General features: G+C 45.5%; 1 protein-coding gene across 3 annotated transcripts in view, besides 1 other annotated feature; it reads left to right on the forward strand.

Moving 5' to 3' along the window:
• The window catches only part of GPATCH1 (G-patch domain containing 1), a 49,362-nt gene that overhangs the window by 16,197 nt on the left and 12,996 nt on the right, over positions 1 to 20,169 (forward strand). For 2 of the 3 annotated variants that reach the window (NR_135270.2, NM_018025.3), the window contains exons 8-15: positions 378 to 525; positions 4,118 to 4,197; positions 9,318 to 9,522; positions 12,340 to 12,639; positions 14,347 to 14,525; positions 15,109 to 15,236; positions 16,390 to 16,526; positions 16,876 to 17,042. Coding sequence is in view for 2 of the 3 variants with exons in the window: in NM_018025.3 (NP_060495.2) it covers positions 378 to 525; positions 4,118 to 4,197; positions 9,318 to 9,522; positions 12,340 to 12,639; positions 14,347 to 14,525; positions 15,109 to 15,236; positions 16,390 to 16,526; positions 16,876 to 17,042 (1,344 nt within the window). In the remaining variant the exon portion in view is untranslated. Of the gene's footprint in view, positions 1 to 377; positions 526 to 4,117; positions 4,198 to 9,317; positions 9,523 to 12,339; positions 12,640 to 14,346; positions 14,526 to 15,108; positions 15,237 to 16,389; positions 16,527 to 16,875; positions 17,043 to 20,169 lie in introns of those variants that run through there. The other variant, XM_006723255.5, reaches the window with a different exon arrangement.
• Positions 8,381 to 8,550: an enhancer, noted in NCBI's record as "experimental_51043 CRE fragment used in MPRA reporter constructs". NCBI's record gives its function as "activates a minimal promoter by MPRAs in K562 erythroleukemia cells, with activity observed for both the introgressed and non-introgressed 19:33596749 variant alleles {active_cell/tissue: K562}" and the evidence as "EXISTENCE:reporter gene assay evidence [ECO:0000049][PMID:34662402]".

Raw genomic sequence — 20,169 nt, forward strand, 5'->3', positions numbered from 1 at the left:
CACCAGCGTTGGCCCAGGCCGCATTGATCAGTTGATGAACATTTCTTCCTTTCTCCTCTTGGAAGCCACATTTCCACCCCTGCACTGCTGCTTGGCTTTGTTCTCCACTCCTCTTCCTGTGCTGGGACCTGGAGCCATGGCTGTTGTGGGGACTGGAGGGCAGTGTTGGCAGTAGGGACATGGCATTCACCTCTGGTCACTGTTTTCCAGAAAACTTGTGTGTGTGTTGGTCGATCTGGGACCCCCGTTCACTTCTCTCTTGGTGATCTTGAAGTGCTAACATGGTTTCCAATCACATCCTTAAAGTAGCTTTATCCCTGAAGATCCCAGACATACCCTAACACCTGTGCTCAGTTTGAAACCTTGTTTTTTTAAAGGCTTTTGGTGTAGGTGCCCTGGAAGAGGAAGATGATGATATCTATGCCACAGAAACTCTATCCAAGTATGACACTGTTCTGAAGGACGAGGAGCCTGGAGACGGACTCTATGGCTGGACAGCACCCAGGCAGTATAAAAACCAGAAAGGTAATTCGACAGCCACAAACCTAATGGCAGGACCAAGTGTCAGGGTATCAGGAAGGAGGGGCTGCAAGAGCGATACAGGAGCACCAGCCTCTGTTGTTGGTCAAAGTCACGGTAAGAAACAAAACAAAGAAGCGAGGCCCAGCATGGGAAGTGAAACAAATGCAGGATTCAGACCTGGCCAAGGCCAAAGCCAGCTGTCAAGGTGGGGCCCAGGTGGGAGGGAGGGAGAGGTCTGTAATCAGGGAAAGAGGAATGCCTGGACCAGTGACCACATGGCTGGTCAGAGCTGGCAGTGGGTCAAAGGGAAGCACCCAGAGCTCGAGGAACTGGGCAGGTGGCCAAAGGAGGCCAACACATGCAGCAGGTCAGAAGGTCAAGCCAGGGGACCAGGAGGCAGGTACACCAACAGCCTGCAGCAAGATGGAGCTGGGCGCCCAGTCCGTCTTCTCCCTTGAGTCCCTGGCTCTGAGGAGGCTCTTGTTGGGATAAGAGGCTGACATCTCTCAACACAACTTTAACTTCATGCTGTGTTGAAATTTCAAGGTGAATCAGATCCTGTGGTTTGAAGTCACATTTCAGTTGTTTCCAGAAAAGGTGCAGGGCCAGACAGTGTAGAGTCGGTATTAGCAGCATGTGATTTGGAGTCAGTCAGACCTGGGTTTGGATGCCAGCTCTCCATTGCCCAGCTTTGTGACCTTAGGCAAGGCTCATAACCTCTCTGGGCATTGGAGTCCACATTTGTAAAGTGAGGATAAAATCCACTCCAGAGGTGGTTGTGAGGATTAAGTGGCATAACTCAGTGTCTGGCAAAGCACCTGTCCCAAAGACTGAAGAAGTGGCACCTACTATTCTTTGGTTATCATACAGTCATGTGTCACTTGACTGGGATGGTATGACAGGGAACCCAGGGTTTTACACAGGACACTGGAAGGGCATGTGTACCCAGTGTTAGGAGACTTAACCTCCGGGTGGTCAGTGGGCTGCTAGTACTTACTTCCTTTTTTTTTTCCTTCCAATGTTTTTCTTTTTTTTTCCCCTGAGTCATTTAGCTTCTGAGCCTTCTTCCTTTTGCCTCCCTATAGTTTCTGATTTCTGTCCCCAAACTATGGATTATTTTTATATAACTTAAATGAAGATATATTAATATATCATAATATACTATTTAATTTTAATACTATATTATAATCAATATACCATTATATATTGTATATGATTTATATTTTATATAATTAATATATCAATACTATTGGTATATTATGTAACATACCAATACATTATTACATAGTAATGTATTGATCTATTTTAATTATTCATTATTTATTAAAAGTGGTGGGAGTATGAAATTGATAATATCCTATATCTGTTAATATAAATGATATTTAATATACAACATATTAATAACAATATATCAATCCTTTAATAATTAATGATATGTAATGACATATATTTAAGTCCGCCTGCTGAACCACATCTTTCACTTTTCCCTCGTGCACCAGCTTTGCCCCCAGCTGATTGGTTCTCACTCCTTCCACTGAGCTCCGAGCCTGTCCTTGTCCCTCTCTGCTGTGGCCTCTCTCCCCCAGCTTCCTCTCTCCCCCCCTGCAGGGTCACAGCATCTGTAGTTTTGACTGTATGATTTTCTATTCGGTGAATCTATCTTTATTTTACCTAGTCTCCACGGTTGATTTTTTACATTTTTAAATTTTTTTTTTTTGAGACAGAGTCTCACTCTGTCACCCAGGCTGGAGAGCAGTGGCATGATCTCGGCTCACTGCAACCTCCGTCCCCCGGGTTCAAGCGATTCTCTTGCCTCAGCCTCCTGAGTAACTGGGATTACAGGTGTGCACCACCACGCCCAGCTAATTTTTTTTTTTTTTTTTTTTTGAAGAAGGAATTTCCCTCTTGTTGCCCAGGCTGGAGTGTAATGGCCTGATCTTGGCTCACCACAGCCTATGCCTCCCGGGTTCAAGCAATTCTCCTGCCTCAGCCTCCCAAGGAGCTGGGATTACAGGCGCCTGCTACCACGCCCAGCTAATTTTTGTGTTTTTAGTAGAGATGGAGTTTCATCATGTTGGCCAGGCTGGTCTTGAACTCCCGACCTCAGGTGATCCGCCCGCCTCGGCCTCCCAGAGTGCTGGAATTACAGGCGTGAGCTACCATGGCTGGCCATGGTTGATTTTTAAATTCTCATTTTTTTTTTCCATGATCAATAGGGCTATAATGAATATTTTTCTGATTCTGTCTTTATGTACATTTGTTTATTTCTTCAGAATTCTTCAGAATGAACTCATAAACATGAAATTTCTGGGTTTTGAGATAATACAAGTTCCAAGAATGTGAAATTGAATCCCACATTACCTGAAGAAATTTTAGTAAGTTCTAGAAGCTTTAAAAAAAGCCCAACATGCCAGGTGCATTGGCTTACACCTGTAATCCCAGCACTTTGGGAGGCTGAGGCAGGCAGATCACGAGGTCAGGAGATCGAGACCATCCTGGCCAACATGGTAAAACCTCGTCTCTACTAAAAATACAAAAATTAGCTGGGTGTGGTGGCACATGCCTGTAATGCCAGCTACTCGGGAGGCTGAGGCACGAGAATCACTTGAACCCAGGAGGCAGAGGTTGCAGTGAGCCAAGATTGTGCCACTGTACTCTAGCCTGGTGACAGAGCGAGACTCCATCTCAAAAAAAAAAAAAAAAAAAAAAAGCCCAACAGGAGTCAAAGCACAAAGAATGGTTTTGTGGGGAGGGGAGAGATGTGGTGGTGCTGAATGATGAGTGGCTAAAAGCCTTAGCTCATCTGCACTGCTTGCTGTTCCTGCTTCAGGCCTGAGCTCCTAGCCTGTGAAAGAGCTTTTGATGGTCATGTAGAAGGGGCTTTTTTTTTTTTTCAGAAGGGGCTTTTGAGTGCAGAGAATACAGTTCATTTATACGGACTTTTGGCGTAACCAGTACGTGCAGGAAAACCTTGAGAATCAAATCAAAGAGCTTTTGTTGGTGGGGTTGTCTCTATGACCAGAAGACGATCCCCACCTCCAGGTCAGAGGGCATTGGTCATTCAGTTTCCTATGTCTGTGATCTTTATGTCTTGTTAAAGATTACAGGCTGACCTGGTGGCATTGCCTTTCATCCCTATTTGGATTGTTGCTAAGGAGATGGCCAGGTAGTCACCCTGTAGTTCTTCACCTAGTTTTACACATGACGCTCTCACAGTTGTGATTTGTATTTTCCTCCATGCTTGTCCTTTTGGTGGTTTTTCTTGATCTTTTACTCCACGGGGTATATCCTTTGGTGCCCCTAAGGTACTTCTTCTAAAAATCACGTCAATATGCTTGTCTTGGAGGACCACAGCCTTGTGACCTGGGTAGCCCAATCTGTCCAGGGCGGTGTGGGCCGGGCCTTAGTCACTGAGTCAACAGAGGTGTGGGGCTTTGCTTACCACTTGTTCTTCCCTTTACTGCTGCTGTTGAGTGATAGCATGTATGACACGTACTATTTATGTTCTTAGAGATAAGAACGTAAAATGCTGATGTGTTCTGTCTTATTCTAATCATCTCTACTTCTGGAATTAATCTATGACATCATTTTGTAGAATCAGAGAAAGACCTTCGGTACGTTGGCAAAATTTTGGATGGATTTTCCTTGGCTTCTAAACCTTTATCTTCTAAGAAAGTAAGAAAAACTTTTTTTCTTTCTTTTTTTACTGGTTTAGTTCTTAAAATATTTGCTGCTATGTGATCTGAGTTCTATTAACAACAGGAAAGATAAGTAAATTCTGTTTTCAAAAAACAACAGCCTGGTTACTAGTGATTGTCTAGAAAAACATTCTACATTAGAAATACCAGGGCGAGGCGCAGTGGCTCATACCTGTAATCCCAGCACTTTGGGAGGCCAAGGTGGGTGGATCACCTGAGGTCGGGAGTTTAAGACCAGCCTGACCAACATGGAGAAACCCCGTCTCTACTAAAAATACAAAATTAGCCGCACGTGGTGTCGCATGCCTGTAATCCCAGCTACTAGGGAGGCTGAGGTGGGAGAATCACTTGAACCCAGGAGGTGGAGGTTACAGTGAGCCAAGATCACACCACTGCACTCCAGCCTGGACAACACGTAAAACTCTGTCTCAAAAAAAAAAAAAAAAAATCAGTTGGCCAGGCGTGGTGGCTCACGCCTGTAATCCCAGCACTTTGGGAGGCCAAGGTTGGCAGATCACCTGAGGTTAGGAGTTTGAGACCACCCTGGTCAATATGGCAAAACCCCATCTCTACTAAAAATACAAAAATTAGCTAGGTGTGGTGGTGGGCGCCTGTAATCCCAGTTACTCGGGAGGCTGAGGCAGGGAGAATTGCTTGAACCTGGGTGGCAGAGGTTGCAGCGAGCCAAGATCGCACCATTGCACTCCAGCTTGGGCGACAAGAGCAAAACTCCGTATCGAAAAGAAAAGAAAAGAAATATCAGTCAGTAGCTACATTGTGATAAAAATATCTAATTTCTATTTTTTTTTTTTTTTTTGAGATGGAGTCTTGTTCTGTCACCCAGGCTGCAGTGTAGTGATGCAATCTCAGCTCACCGCAACCTCCGCCTCCCAAATTCAAGCGATTCTCCTGCCTCATCCTCCTGAGTAGCTGGGATTACAGGCGTGCACCACCACGGCTGGCTAATCTTTGTATTTTTAGTAGAGATGGGGTTTCACCATGTTGGTCAGGCTGGTCTTGAACTCCTGACCTTGTGATCCGCCTGCCTCAGCCTCCCAAAGTGCTGGAATTACAGGCGTGAGCCACCGCGCCCGGCCGCTAATATTTCAAATTCAAACTTCAAGTGAGTGGTTATTTACATGAAAAGAGACATACATTAGAAAGAGAATGAAATTGCTATGATTCTAGGGGAAATGTAGGTTAAGGAAAAGTAGAAAACATTCAGAAAGCTGGATAACCCATAGCCCTGGTTCCTCCCCATGCTCTGAAGCTAGCAGGGGCAAGGTTCCCTGGCCTCCTCAGCTGGGGCCGAGCAGAAGGGAGAGAAGCCGTGTGCAGGTGGGTGAAGTTGGAGGAGAGCTCTGCGTGCCTTTGCAGATTGCTTTGTTTTTGTGAGATGCTGTCACAGCCACATGTGAAGCTCTTAGGCCACATGGCGCTCTTCCTGTCACCACCAAAGTCACATGCTCACAGGCACACTCAGGAGGGAGTTAGGGTGCTGGCCAGCCCAGGAGGGGTGTCTGGCCATCTGCCTTGTCAGCATTCCTGTTTTAGATTGTTTCACGCTTTAATCAGCTTTTTGTTTTTTATTCAGCAAACATTTGTTCAGTACCTCTAAGGATTGGCCTGTGCTTGTCTGGGACACGGGAGGCCAGGGGACAGTTTTGATTTGTTTCATTGTGATAGTTCATGTGTTGTGATAGCCAGCAGAATATATCTAGGACAGTGTCGGGCATACAGTAAGCTGCTATTATTACCAGAAATGTCAAATAACATTAAAGGAAAATGCAGGTGTTTTACATGTATGAAAAGGAAGCATAAGGCCGGGCACGGTGGCTCACACCTATAATCCCAACACTTTGGGAGGCTGAGGCGGATGGATCACTTGAGGTCAGGAGTTCGAGACCAACCTGGCCAACATGGCGAAACCCCACCTCTACTAAAAATACAAAAATTAGCCAGGCATGGTGGTACGTGTCTGTAAACCCAGCTACTTGGGAGGCTGAGGCAGGAGAATTACTTGAGCCTGGAAGGTGGAGGTTGCAGTGAGCCAAGATTGTGCCACTGCACGTCTAGCCTGGGTGACAGAGCAAGACTCCATCTCAAAAAAAGAAAAAAAAAGAAAAGGAAGCATAGTTTAAAAATGATGGAGAAGCACTCACTGGTCCTTAGGATAAATAGGCCAGCCTGGCCCCAGGTAGCTCCCATCCAACAAAGGTAGCAGATACACAAATACAGAGTCGTGGGCAAACATCCCTAAGTGGAGAGACACAGTCCTGGGGGTTCCTGGCGCTTCTCTGGAGTAGGGCTTTGGGCAGGAACACTTCAGAGGAGGGCTGTGTTCATCTAGCCTTTCACACACAGATTTAGATGGTTCTCTAGATCTGAATCTAGAGGTCAAACAGAACAATGATTTGGCAGACAGACAGAGAGAAATACTTTCAATCCAAGACTGGGCATGGTGGCTTACGCCTGTAATCCTAGCACTTTGGGAGGCCAATGCGGGCAGATCGCTAGAGTCCAGGAGTTTGAGACCAGCCTGGGCAACATGGTGAAACCCCATCTCTACAAAAAATACAAAAAAAAAAAAAAATTAGCTGGGTGTGGTGGTATGTGCCTGTAGTCCTAGCCTCTTGGGGGCCTGAGGTGGGAGGATTGCTTGAGCCTGGGAGGTCCAGGCTGCAGTGAGCTGTGATTGGCTGCTGCACTCCAGCCTGGGCAACAGAGTGAGACCCTGTCTCAAAAAAAAGAAAGAAATACTTTGAATCCCATGGAGGATATAGAGAAGTTGTGGACACACTCCTCCTTTCTGCCATGTTCCTCTGGGTTTTTGTGTGGTGGTAACATGAGAGTGTTTTCTGGCTGATTTGGGGGTGTGTCTCCAGAAGGTGATGAAGCTAAGATGATAAAAAAACAGGATTTCTTGACAATGATAACACCACTCTTTCATGGACTTTCATTGTGCCAGGGGCTTGACCCAGGCTGTGTATTTTAACAACCACCTGGGGAGCTTGGGGAACTCCAGTTATAGCAGACTCTCTGGGGTGGGGCGCAGGCATCAGTATAGTTACAACTCCTCAGGCGAGTCCAGCATGCACCTGGACCTGAGAGCCAGCGGAGAGAGGGGCCGGGAGAGAGGGGTCAGTGCTTTCAGCCACAGGGTTACTTCATCATGGACTTCAGCTTTCATGTAGCTTAAAAATCTAGAGAATATTTCAGTGTGAATTTGGGGGAAAAAAATAGTAAAGAAAAGTCTAGAAAATAGCTTAAATAACAAACACGTGTGGATTTGTTAGACCAAGAGCAAGGGAGACCATTTAATGCAGTTATTTAACAATATTTAGTACTTTCCTTTACCTTGTCTGCTGTGCCATCATTCATGCCTGTCAGTGTTAAAAATCCCCAAATTTCCCAAACAGATTTTCATTTCACTTCCGTCAACTTTTAAATTAAAGTTTTTAAATTCCTGTCCCCACTCCCCTCCTAGCTCCTGGGCCAGGTCCTCTTGGCTCTACTCACATTATTCATAGTAATATCTTGGATGAAAAAATAGGCCAGGCGTGGTGGCTTACGCCTGTAATTCCAGCACATTGGGAGGCTGAGGCGGGTGGATCATTTGAGGTCAGGAGTTTGAGACCAGCCTGGCCAACATGGTGAAACCCCGTCTCTACTAAAAATACAAAAATTAGCCAGGCATGGTGATGCGTGCCTGTAATTCCTGCTACTTGGGAGGCTGAGGCAGGAGAATTGCATACCCAGAGCTGAGATTGCACCACTGCACTGCAGCCTGGATGACAGAGCAAGACTCTGTCTCAAAAAAAAAAAAAAAAAGAAAAAGAAAAAAGAAAGCCCGAAGCTTCAATTTGCAACTGAAACATAACTAGAAAAAATAATTATGAATTTAAAAATAACTACAGTTATTATTATTATTAATTATTATTTTTGAGATGGAGTCTCACTCTGTCACCCAGGCTGGAGTGCAGTGGTGCGATCTCAGCTCACTGCAACCTCTGCTTCCCAGGCTCAAGCAATTCTCCTGCCTCAGCCTTCCAAGTAGCTGGGATTACAGGCATCCACCACCACACCTGGCTAATTTTTGTATTTTTAGTAGAGACGGGGTTTCACCATGTTGGCCAGGCTGGTCTTGAACTCTTGACCTTAAGTGATCTGCCTACCTTGTCCTCCCAAAGTGCTGGGATTATAGGCATGAGCCACTGTGCCCAGCTATTATTATTATTTATTTGTCTTTCTTTTTTTTTTGTTTGAGACGGAGTCTCGCTCTGTTTCAGCTCTGCACCGGGGTGCAGTGGCGCAATCTCAGCTCACTGCGACCTCTGCCTCCCGGGTTTACGCGACTCTCCTGCCTCAGCACCCCCGAGTAGCTGAGATTACAGGTGTGCGCTACCACGCCTGGCTAATTTTTGTATTTTTAGTAGAGATGGGGTTTCACCATATTGGCCAGGCTGGTCTTGAACTCCTGATCTCAGGTGATCCACCCGCCTTGGTCTCCCAACATGCTGGGATTACAGGCATGATCCACTGTTCCCGGCCCCAACTATTATTTAAAAAAATTTTTTTTTTAGTTTTATAGAGATGGGGTCTCATTCTGTTGCCCAGGCTCGTCATGAACTCCCAGGCTCAAGCAGTCCTCCCATCTTGGCCTCCCAGAGTGCTGGGATTATAGGTGTGAGCCACTGCGCCCAGCCATTATTTTCCTCCATGCTTTGAATGGTACTTTTTCTAAATTTTCTGATGTACAGTGGGCCAGCCCTACCTGTAGGCCCTGACATTTATGATCTATTGTCATCTTTATAGTTCTTATCCTATAAAACAGGCACATTAGCTTCTTTCTGTAGAAATGGGTGGGAGGATATTCGAAATGCCTGACCACTGGAACACGGTGGCTCTTGTGACCCTCCAGGTCCAGAGGGGATGCTGGCTGGACCTCTGGCCAGCCTGTTCTTGTGCTACCTGCCTGCTGAGTGTTAACCCGGGAAGGGGCGGGGTTAACAAGGCTCAGAGGTAACAGGTTTTCCTGATTAAATCAAACATGATCTTGCAGCCTGTATTTTCTGGGTTTTGTCTTGGTTTGTTAAGATCTATCCACCTCCAGAGCTGCCAAGAGACTATCGACCAGTGCATTATTTCAGACCCATGGTGGCCGCCACCTCCGAGAACTCACACTTACTGCAGGTATTATCAGAGTCAGCTGGAAAGGCAACGCCTGACCCAGGGACACACAGTAAGCACCAACTGAATGCCTCCAAACGGGCTGAGTTGCTTGGAGAGACGCCTATTCAAGGTATGTGCCATGGAGAAGACGGAAATCATTTCACATAATTCGAGTTATCAAAATCAAAATGGAAAGTTGTTGTTTTCCCACTGAAGTTTTTTACATGAATTTGTATTCCCAAACTGTGGAAATACCACTATTTATTGTAAATGGCATACATAATAGTGTGCATATCTTTTACTTCTTTTTTTAAGTTTTATTTTTAAACTTATTTATTTTGAGATAATGTCTAGGTCTGTCACCCAGGCTGAAGGCAGTGGTAACTCTCTATAACCTGGAACTCCTGGGTTCAAGCGTTCCTCCCACCTCAGACTCCCATGTTGCTGGGACTATAGGCATGTGCCACCACCACACCTGGCACATTTTTTAAATAGAGATGAGGGTCTCACTATGTTGCCCAGGCTGGTCTGGAACTTCTGGCTTCCCAAAGTGCTGGGATTACAGGTGTGAGCCTCTGCGCCCAGCCAAGGCTTGTTTTTCCACCTTCAGTTTGGTTGATGTCATTCAAATCACAACTTTTGTTGTAAGCTCAGCTGTTTTCAGACTTGTCATAATTATCAGGGAATGTGGTTAAGGTGCCTTCCCCTTCTCTGCACAGCCTGGGAGAGTATGTTTTCTTCCTCCTGGGGATCGCATTGTGTAACTCTTCTCCCGAAAGTCTGAAAGGGATGAATGTGTCTGAAAGTCTGGAAAGACATGGAGAATCCCCTGCAGGGTGCAGCAGGAAAGTCCCACCATGAGAGGTGGACTTGGACTCTTAGGGGCTCGGGTCTCACTGCCATGGGGAACTCAATAGGTGTCTCGTATAATTGGCAAACAGAACCCTTGGTTCCCCACCCCCATCACACACTGCGCTTCCTCATCTAAGTCTTCTCATCTCAGGAAGTGGTGCCACCATGATCCACTGCTCGGACCAGGATGTAGGAGGCCTAATTCTTTTTTTTTTCTTAATTTTTAATTTTTATTTTTTTTTATTATACTTTAAGTTCTAGGGTACATGTGCACAACGTGCAGGTTTGTTACATGTGTATACATGTGCCACGTTCGTGTGCTGCACCTATTAACTCGTCATTTACATAAGGTATATCTCCTAATGCTATCCCTCCCCGCTTCCCCGGGAGGCCTAATTCTTAGCTCCTCTCTTTTCGGTCCTCCCGCACCCTCCCTGACCCTCCTTGGCCCTTAGTGAGTCCTCTCGGCTCTACCCACACGTGTGGGGGTTCTGTCCACTACTCATCTGCATTTCCGTGGCCTCCCGGGTCTGAGCCCCACCCCTCCACCTGGACCGTTGCTGCAGTCTCCTTGGTGGTCTCCTTGTTTCCTGTCCATCTCCCGTAGACTGTTCCCCTCACCAGCAGCTGGATGAGGCCAACTATACCAGCCAACACCTCTCCCACCTACAGAAACCTCCAGGCTCCCCACGAGGCCCTGTGCGGCCCCGCCCCTGCCCGCCTTTCAGGCTGCACCATCCACCACCTTCCCTTACCCTCCCACAGTGTAGCGTCTTCCTCCTCCTTTCCTCCCCTGGAACACGCCGTCATCCATGACACTGCCTAAGGGCCTTTGTGTTTGCTGTACCTCCCTTTCTGTTCTTCCCTCATATTTTTGTGAATCTGGCTCTTTTTTTTTTTAGCTTATGACTTATCTCGAATGTTACTTTCTTCCAGCCTTCCCCGACCACCATATAATCTGGTTATCTGCCTGTCCCCTCTACCAGCCCGCTCACACAAGCCCCCCTCAGTCACATCGTCCTGTTTTTTTCATAGCCCTCCTCTATTGAGGGCCAGCGTATTGCTCCTGGGCTTCTTTCGTGTCTCCACTGCCCTCCAAGCTCCTGGGCCAGGTCCTGGCATAGAGCTGGCACTCATGAGTGTTTGTCCCATTGGTGAGGGCTTGCTGGGGAGCTGTACTCGGAACCAGGGCTAGTGGTGGTGGACTGCAGGTCTGGAGCCGGGGATGTCAGGTTCCCCATCCTGGAATCACTCACGTGCCCTGTAAGTGTGCATGTATTAACTTCCATTTTTGCTGACTATAAAACAGGAATCTTGGCTGGACACAGTGGCTCATGCCTGTAGTCCCAGAACTTTGGGAGGCCAAGGTGGGATGATCTCTTGAGCCCAGGAGTTGAGACCAGCTTGGGAAACATGGCGTAATCCCGTCTACAAAAAATACAAAAAGTAGTCGGGCATGGTGGTGTGTACCTGTGGTCCCAGCTACTCAGGAGGCTGAGGTGGGAGGATCACTTGAGCCTGAGAGGTGGAGGTTGCAGTGAGCCATGATCACACCACCGTACTCCAGTCCAGGTGACACAGCGAGACCATGTCTCAAAAAAAACATAGGAATTGGCCAGGCGTGGTGGCTCACGCCTGTAATCCCAGCACTTTGGGAGGCCGAGGCGGGTGGATCACCTGAGGTCAGGAGTTTGAGACCAACCTGGCCGACATGATGAGACCCTGTCTCTACTAAAAATATAAAAAATTAGCCAGGCATTGTGGCACATGCCTGTAGTCCCGGCTACTCGGTGGGGATGAGACAGGAGAATTGCTTGAACCCAGGAGGTTGCAGTGAGCTGAGATGGTACCATTGCACTCCAGGCTGGGCAATAGAGCGAGACTCCATCTAAAATAATAATAATAATAAGAAGAAGAATCTCAATTTTTATCACTGTCTAGTCCACAGGGACATATTAATATAAATGAAACACTAAACATAAAATCCTCATCCCCAATTATGTAAATTTGTGTTATTGAAATGTATGTACAGAGAAACGTAAATGTGGTTGTCTCATGGCTCTTTTCATCTCTTCTAATTACTGTTTTTATTTAGGTTCAGCTACTTCAGTGTTAGAATTTCTGTCCCAAAAAGACAAAGAGAGAATCAAAGAAATGAAGCAGGCAACTGACCTGAAAGCAGCTCAGCTCAAGGCCAGGAGTCTGGCCCAGAACGCTCAGAGCAGCAGAGCCCAGCTCTCCCCTGCAGCGGCTGCTGGGCACTGCTCTTGGAACATGGCATTAGGTGGTGGGACGGCCACCTTAAAAGCCAGCAACTTCAAGCCTTTCGCCAAAGATCCGGAAAAGCAAAAGCGATACGACGAGTTCTTAGTACACATGAAACAGGGTCAGAAAGGTGGGTGCTGGGCCTGGGTGTCCCAAATCTCGGCCCGGGCGGGGTCATATTCTCACTGTTCTCATCCTAGACCCATATTTACAGTTGAGGTATCCTGTTCTGTCAGTGTTTTTGCTTTATCCTGCTGCAAATAGTGCAAAGGTTTCAGGCCTTGGCTCTTGACCTCAGAAAGCAAGAACAGTTGGCTTATGTTCCTCCATATCTCAGGCCAAAGCTAGCTGTTTAAGTAGAGAACACAGCTGGCGGTGGCCGGTACTTACAGGCCGTTTGGTGTTTGCAAGTGCTTGACTGCTACAAGCATTGCATTCACATTTCATATCAGCATCATCTTCCACCTCATCCGAAGATCCTAACCATCCATTCCTGACTCATAGTCTAAAATATGACTTAAAACAATAGTTAGCTATTGAACCGTTACAGAGGGAAAACAATCACTTTGTGATCTGTGAAGTAAATAGGGCAAGAATGAGGCAAGAATGAGGAAAGGGGTTGCTGTTGTATGCAGTAGTCCTCGTGAGAGGTTATCAGTAAATTACAGGGTTGTTTTTTAAAAACAGATCTTTGCGGAATGTAAAGTCTATTTACTGTGCCTTAACTCTCTACTAAGAACCTACATCACTAATGTTTATTTGCTTTAAAAAAAAAAAACGGTTAGTGAAAGAGTGTTTTTCTGCCAAAACATAGGGATGTGGTTGAGGTGAACTTATCACTGCCTGGGAGTGGTGACAAGTTCCTTACTGCTGAAGATTTAACCAACCATTAGCCTCTCAAATGGTTTTCTCTGTTATGTTTGGTAGACAGAATTCAATAAAAGCATCATTTTGGCTGGGGATGGTGGCTCATGCCTGTAATCCAAGTACTTTGGGAGGCTGAGATGAGGATCGCTTTAGCCTAGGAGTTCAAGACCAGCCTGGGCAACATAGTGAGATCCTGCCTCTACCAAAAAAAAAAAGATATATATGTATATATAAAATATATTATATATATATATACACACATCATATTTTATTTATTTTTTTGAACGGAGTCTTGCTCTGTTGCCCAGGCTGGAGTGCAGTGTCAGGATCTTGGCTCACTGCAATCTCAGCTCACTGCAACCTCCACCTCCCAGGTTCAAGTGATTATCCTGCCTCAGCCTTCTGAGCAGCTGGGACTATAGGTATGTGCCACCACGCCTGGTAATTTTTTGTTTCCCGTCTCTACTAAAAATACAAAAAATTAGCCGGGCATGGTGGCGGACGCCTGTAGTCCCAGCTACTCGGGAGACTGAGGCAGGAGAATGGTGTGAACGTGGGAGGCGGAGCTTGCAGTAAGCAGAGATCATGCCACTGCACTCCAGCCTGGGAGACAGAGTGAGACTCCATCTCAGAAAAAAAAAAAAAAAAAAAAAGAGAGATGGGGTTTCACCATGTTTGCCAGGCTGGTCCCGAACTCCTGACCTCAAGTGACCCACCCGCCTCGGCCTCCCAAAGTGCTGGGATTACAGGCATGAACAACTGCGCCTGGCCTAAATTTTTTTTAAAAAAGCACAATTTTGAAGGAAACAGCAATATTACCTGCCAAATACCTCACCATTCCCATAGTCATAAAAACAAGGATAAGGACTTATGAAATATACAGGGATACAGTGGTGCCCAGCAGATGTTCTCTTGTAAGCCCCATGTTTTCCTGAAAAGTGAAGCTGCTTCTTGTTCTCTGCCCCCGCAGATGCTCTGGAACGCTGTCTGGACCCCAGCATGACAGAGTGGGAGCGAGGCCGTGAGCGGGATGAGTTTGCCCGGGCGGCCCTGCTGTACGCATCTTCCCATTCGACCTTGTCCTCCAGGTTCACTCACGCCAAGGAGGAGGATGACTCAGATCAGGTTGAAGTCCCTCGAGACCAAGAGGTCTGTTGTCACCATGTCCCTTACCTGGTGAACTTTAATATTAAAGCACTGCCTAGCCAAAATAGTTTTTTCCTTTTTTTTGAGACGGAGTCTCTCTCTGTCGCCCAGGCTAGAGTGCAGTGGTGTGATCTCGGCTCACTGCAGCCTCCGCTTCCTGGGTTCAAGCGATTCTCCTGCCTCAGCCTTCCAAGTAGCTGGGATTACAGGCGCTCGCCACAACAGCCATCTAATTTTTGTATTTTTAGTAGAGATGGGGTTTCACCATATTGGCCAGGCTGGTCTTGAACTCCTGACCTCAGGTGATCCACCCGCCTCGGCCTCTCAAAGTACTAGGATTACAGGCATGAGCCACCATGCCCGGCCGAGCCAAATATTTTTAATCCCTTGGTGAGAAGATCAAAATATACATGTATAGGAGAATAGGAAACCATTTTATGCCTTAGTTTCCAATGTACTGGAGCATAAATGTTATAGCACAAACTTTTTTCACAGTTCTAGAAGATTGCTTGAAAATTTTAAATGGGAGAGCAGTCAGGTCAGTGGTGCGGCCACTTGATGGAACAGAATGCATGTCTTTTTCCAGAATGATGTCGGGGATAAGCAGTCGGCTGTGAAGATGAAGATGTTTGGGAAGCTCACCCGAGACACGTTTGAGTGGCACCCTGACAAGCTTCTATGTAAGAGATTTAATGTCCCTGACCCTTATCCAGAGTAAGTTGGATAAACCTTTACATCAGTACAAAATGTATTCTTGATATTAAAGCTAATTTTCCCCTTACATACTCATATAAATTCTTATTTTTTCTACATGAACTTATTTGCATATCACTGGATATACAAATCTACACATTTTATAGATTTGCTTTGATAAATTACTTCTATAATTTGTTACTAAAACAAAATCTGGATAGCAAACTTTATTCCATATTGAAGCTATGAAACTCAGATATGTCAAGTTACAAAAGCATTATGCCTCTCTCATTTGCCACCTTCTTGTTGCTGCTCATGTGGTTTACATTTATAATGTTACTTATGTTTTTAAATTATCATTATAAAAGTTAAACACTTTCTTATTTGATTAATAACACTTCAAGAGGTGGGGTGTGGTGGTGCACACTTGTAATCCTAGCTTGGGAGGCCAAGGCAGGAGGATCGCTTGAGCCCAGGAGTTCGAGGCCAGCCCGGGTAACATAGTAAGACCCCATCTCTAAAAAATCAAACAAACAAACAAACAAACAGAACACTTCAAGATAGTAGGCCGGGTGCAATGGCTCACGCCTGTAATCCCTGTATTTTGGGAGACTGAGGCAGGCAGATCACTTGAGGTCAGGAGTTCAAGACCAGCCTGACCAACATGGTGAAACCCCGTCTCTACTAAAAATACAAAAAATTAGCTGGGCGTGGTGGTGCGTGCCTATAGTCCCAGCTATTTGGGAGGCTGATGCAGGAGAATTGCTTGAACCTGGGAGGCGGAGGTTGCAGTGAGCCAAGATTGTGCCATTGCACTCTAGCCTGGGTGACAAGGCGAGACTCAATCTCAAGAGAAAAAAAAACAAAACAAAAAGATAGCATATGTGGTCAAACCAGAGACTGTCAGAAACTTTAGGTATATTTTTATCAGTGGAGCTTTTCCTTAATGGAAATCCATTTTGAAAGTTAAATTCTTGTCCTTATCATAATAAGGAAAATCTCATGGGACCTAAAATCAGTCACCCAGATTCTCGAACTGCTTTGAGAAGTGAAAGCATCTTAGGAGACTTTTTAGTCATGCAGAAGAGGTGGAAAACTTGAGATGGAAAGCTTTTCAGGAGGTGGATTTTGTCCTACTGGTTGTTACTAAAATGATTCTTTTTTCAATTCCCAGTTCAACTTTAGTTGGCTTACCAAGAGTGAAGCGTGACAAGTACTCAGTCTTCAACTTTCTGACGCTCCCAGAGACAGCTTCCTTGCCCACCACTCAAGCATCAAGTGAAAAAGTATCACAGCACCGAGGTCCCGACAGTGAGTAGGGCGTCCCCGGGGTCTCTGATTGACCAGGGCCTCAACCCCTAGCCTGTAGGAAGACAGAATTAAAGGGTAGTTTAGTCCTAACAATGTGAATGGTGCATATTCTCCCTCCATTGAGGGAATTACTCTTACTAATAACTTAGCTCATGTTGTAATGGTCCAGATGTTTACTCTTTGGGGTTGGGGCTCTGTCTCTGCCTCTGCCACCTACCTCCCCAGGACCCTACACAGTGCCAGGCCCCTAGTAGGCACGCTGACATTCTGAGTGAATGAAAGAGCAGTGGTGAAGAACTGGCCTTTTCCTTGCTAATGCTGGAGTTTATATCTATGTCCTGCCTTTCAGAATCAAGAAAACCATCCAGATGGGATACCTCTAAACACGAAAAGAAAGAAGATTCCATTAGTGAATTTTTAAGTTTGGCTAGATCAAAAGCCGAGCCACCTAAACAACAGTCCAGCCCCTTAGTAAACAAAGAGGAAGAGCATGCACCAGAATTATCCGCAAATCAGGTATTTGGGGCTTCCAGATTCTCTTTGCCACGCTGAGTGTGGCCCTTGCTTTTCTCTTTGGTGACACTTTCTCCTCGTGACTCACCAGCAGAGGCAGCCAACTATTGATCCATTTCCCCTTAAAGGCCATTTGGCTTGTTTCTAACTTTTGGCTATAACAAGTAAAGCTGCTGGGAGCATTCATGTGCAAGTTTTTGTGTGAATATAAGTTTTCATTTCTGTAGAGTACAAACCTAGTAGTGGGAATCCTGGAAAATATGTACATGTATATTTAACTTTATAAGAAGCTGTCAAACTGTATTCCAAAGTTATTTTTGCCTTATGTATTTTGAAGTGCACTTCTTAGGTGTATATACATTTAGGATTGCTATTTCTCTCTTTTTTTTTTTTTTTTTTTTTTTGAGATGGAGTCTTGGTCTGTCCCCCAGGCTGGAGTGCAGTGGCATGATTTCGGCTCACTGCAAGCTCTGCCTCCCCTCCCGGGTTCAAGTGATTCTCCTGCCTCAGCTTCCCAAGTAGATGGGACTACAGGTGCGCACCACCATGCCTGGCTAATTTTTGTATGTTTAGTAGAGATGGGGTTTCACCATGTTGGCCAGGCTGGTCTTGAACTGGGATTGCTATTTCTTTTCAGTGAATTGATCTTTTTTTTTTTTTCTCTGACACCGGCTTTTACTCTGTGCCCAGGCTGGAGTGCAGTGTTGTGATAATGGCTCACTGCAGGCTCGAACGCCCAGGTTCAAGCAATCCTGCCTCAGCCTCCTGAGTAGTTGGGACTGCGGGCACACACCACCATGCCTGGCTAATTTTTTTTTTTTTTTTTTTTTTTTTTTTTTTCAGAGAAAGGGCCTTGCTATGTTTTTCCAGGTTGGTCTCAAACTTCTGCTCTCAAGCAGTCCTCCTGCCCTGGCCTCCCAAAGTGCTGGGATTACAGGCGTGAGCCACCATGCCCAGTTGACCCTTTTAACATTATGTAATATCATCTTTATCCCTGGTAATTTTCTTTAGTGTTTGCGTAGTATATATCTTTTTCATCTTCTTTTTAACACATCTGTTTCATTATATTTAAAGTGGGTTTCTTTTTTTTTTTTTGAGATGAAGTTTTACTCTTCTTGCCCAGGCTGGAGTACAATGGCACTGTCTCGGCTCACCGCAACCTCTGCCTCCCGGGTTCAAGCAATTCCCCTGCCTCAGCCTCCTGAGTAGCTGGGATTACAGGCAGGCACCACCATGCCTGGCTAATTTTGTATTTTTAGTAGAGACGGGGTTTCTCCATGTTGGTCAGGCTGGTCTTAAACTCTTGACCTTAGGTGATCTGCCCGCCTCAGCCTCCCCAAAGTGCTGGGATTACAGGCATAAGCCACCGCGCCTGGCTAAAGTGGGTTTCTTATAAACACCGTGTCACTGAGTCTTTCTTAAAATACATTTTGATAATTTATATTGGACATTTGCATTTAATGTGATCATGGATATTTTTGGATTTACGTGTATGATGTTATATTTTCTGTTTATTACCACTCTTTTTTGTTTCTTTTTTTCCCCTTCTCTGCCTTCTTTTGGATTACTTGAATAATTTTTATATTCCATTTGAATTTTTCTATTTTTTTTCTCTTGGTATTTTTTTTTTAGTGATTGCTCTAGGGATTATAGTATACCTACTTACCTTTTTACAGTCTACTGAGAATTAAATGTTTTACCACTTCCAGTAGAATAGAGAAGCTTTAGCACTATGTAGGTCCTTTTACTCTCCTCCCTCTATGCTGTCTTACATATTACATGTACACACAATGAAAATGCCATCAAACCAGTGGTGATCATTTTTGCTTTTAGTCATTAAACATATTTTAAAAGAACCGATGCAGAGACAATAGCCTACTCTGTTTAATCAGATATTTTCTATTTCTGTTGCTCTTTCTTCATCCTTGAAGTTCCACGTTCCCCTCACCTATCATTTCTGTCTGAGGAACTTCCTTTAGCATTTCTTTTAGACCAGTTCCAACAAGTGATTCTCTTAAATTGCCATTATCTGAGAATGTCTTATATTTTGTCTTCATTCCTGAAGGATGTTTTTGCTGGATATAGAATTCTGGGTTGATAATTTTTGTTTTGTTTTGTTTGTTTGTTTTTTGAGACGGAGTCTCGCTCTGTCACCCAGGCTGGAGGGCAGTGGCGCGATCTCAGCTCACTGCAAGCTCCACCTCCCAGGTTCACGCCATTCTCCTGCCTCAGCCTCCCGAGTAGCTGGGACTACAGGCGCCCGCCACCACGCCTGGCTAATTTTTTGTATTTTTAGTAGAGACGGGGTTTTACTGTGTTAGCCAGGATGGTCTCGATCTCCTGACCTCGTGATCCACCCGCCTCGGCCTCCCAAAGTGCTGGGATTACAGGCGTGAGCCACTGCGCATGGCCAATTTTTTTTTAAATTAAACTGCTACTTCCTCCGGGGTTTCGTGATTTCTGATGAGAAATCTTCAACCATTCAAATTGTCCTCAGGCTGGGTGTGTTGGCTCACATCTATAATCCCAGCACTTTGGGAGGCTGAGGCAGGGGGCTTGTTTGAGGCTAGGAGTTTGAGACTACCCTGGGCAACATCGTGAGACCCCATCTTTTACAAAAAATTAAAAAACTAGTTGGGTGTGGTGGCATGCACCTGTGGTCCCAGCTACTCAAGGGGCTACGGTTGGAGGATCACTTGAGCCCAGGAGGTCAACACTGCAGTGTGCTATGATCGCACCATTGCTTTCCAGCCTGGGTGACAGAGTGAGACCCTGGCTCAAAAAACCCCAAAACAAATTATTATTCCTCTGTACATAATGATGTGATTTTTCTCCTAGCTGCTTTCAAGATTTTTACTTGGTCTTTGGATTTTAGCGGTTTGATTATGATGTATCTGGGTGTGAATTCTTTTGAGTTTATTTTGTTTGGGGTTTGTTAAGTTGCCTGAATCTGAGTTTGGAAATAGAACAGAGGCACAGTGCTCTACTGCATTTTTGGGGATCCTAGTAGCTGGGATTACAGACGCCCACCACCATGCCCAGCTAATTTTTGTACTTTTAGTAGAGACAGGGTTTCACCATTTTGGCCAGGATGGTCTCGATCTCCTGACCTTGTGATCCACCCGCCTAG

This window comes from Homo sapiens, chromosome 19, assembly GCF_000001405.40.
Source record: "Homo sapiens chromosome 19, GRCh38.p14 Primary Assembly".
In the NCBI taxonomy this organism is placed as follows: Eukaryota; Metazoa; Chordata; class Mammalia; order Primates; family Hominidae; genus Homo; species Homo sapiens.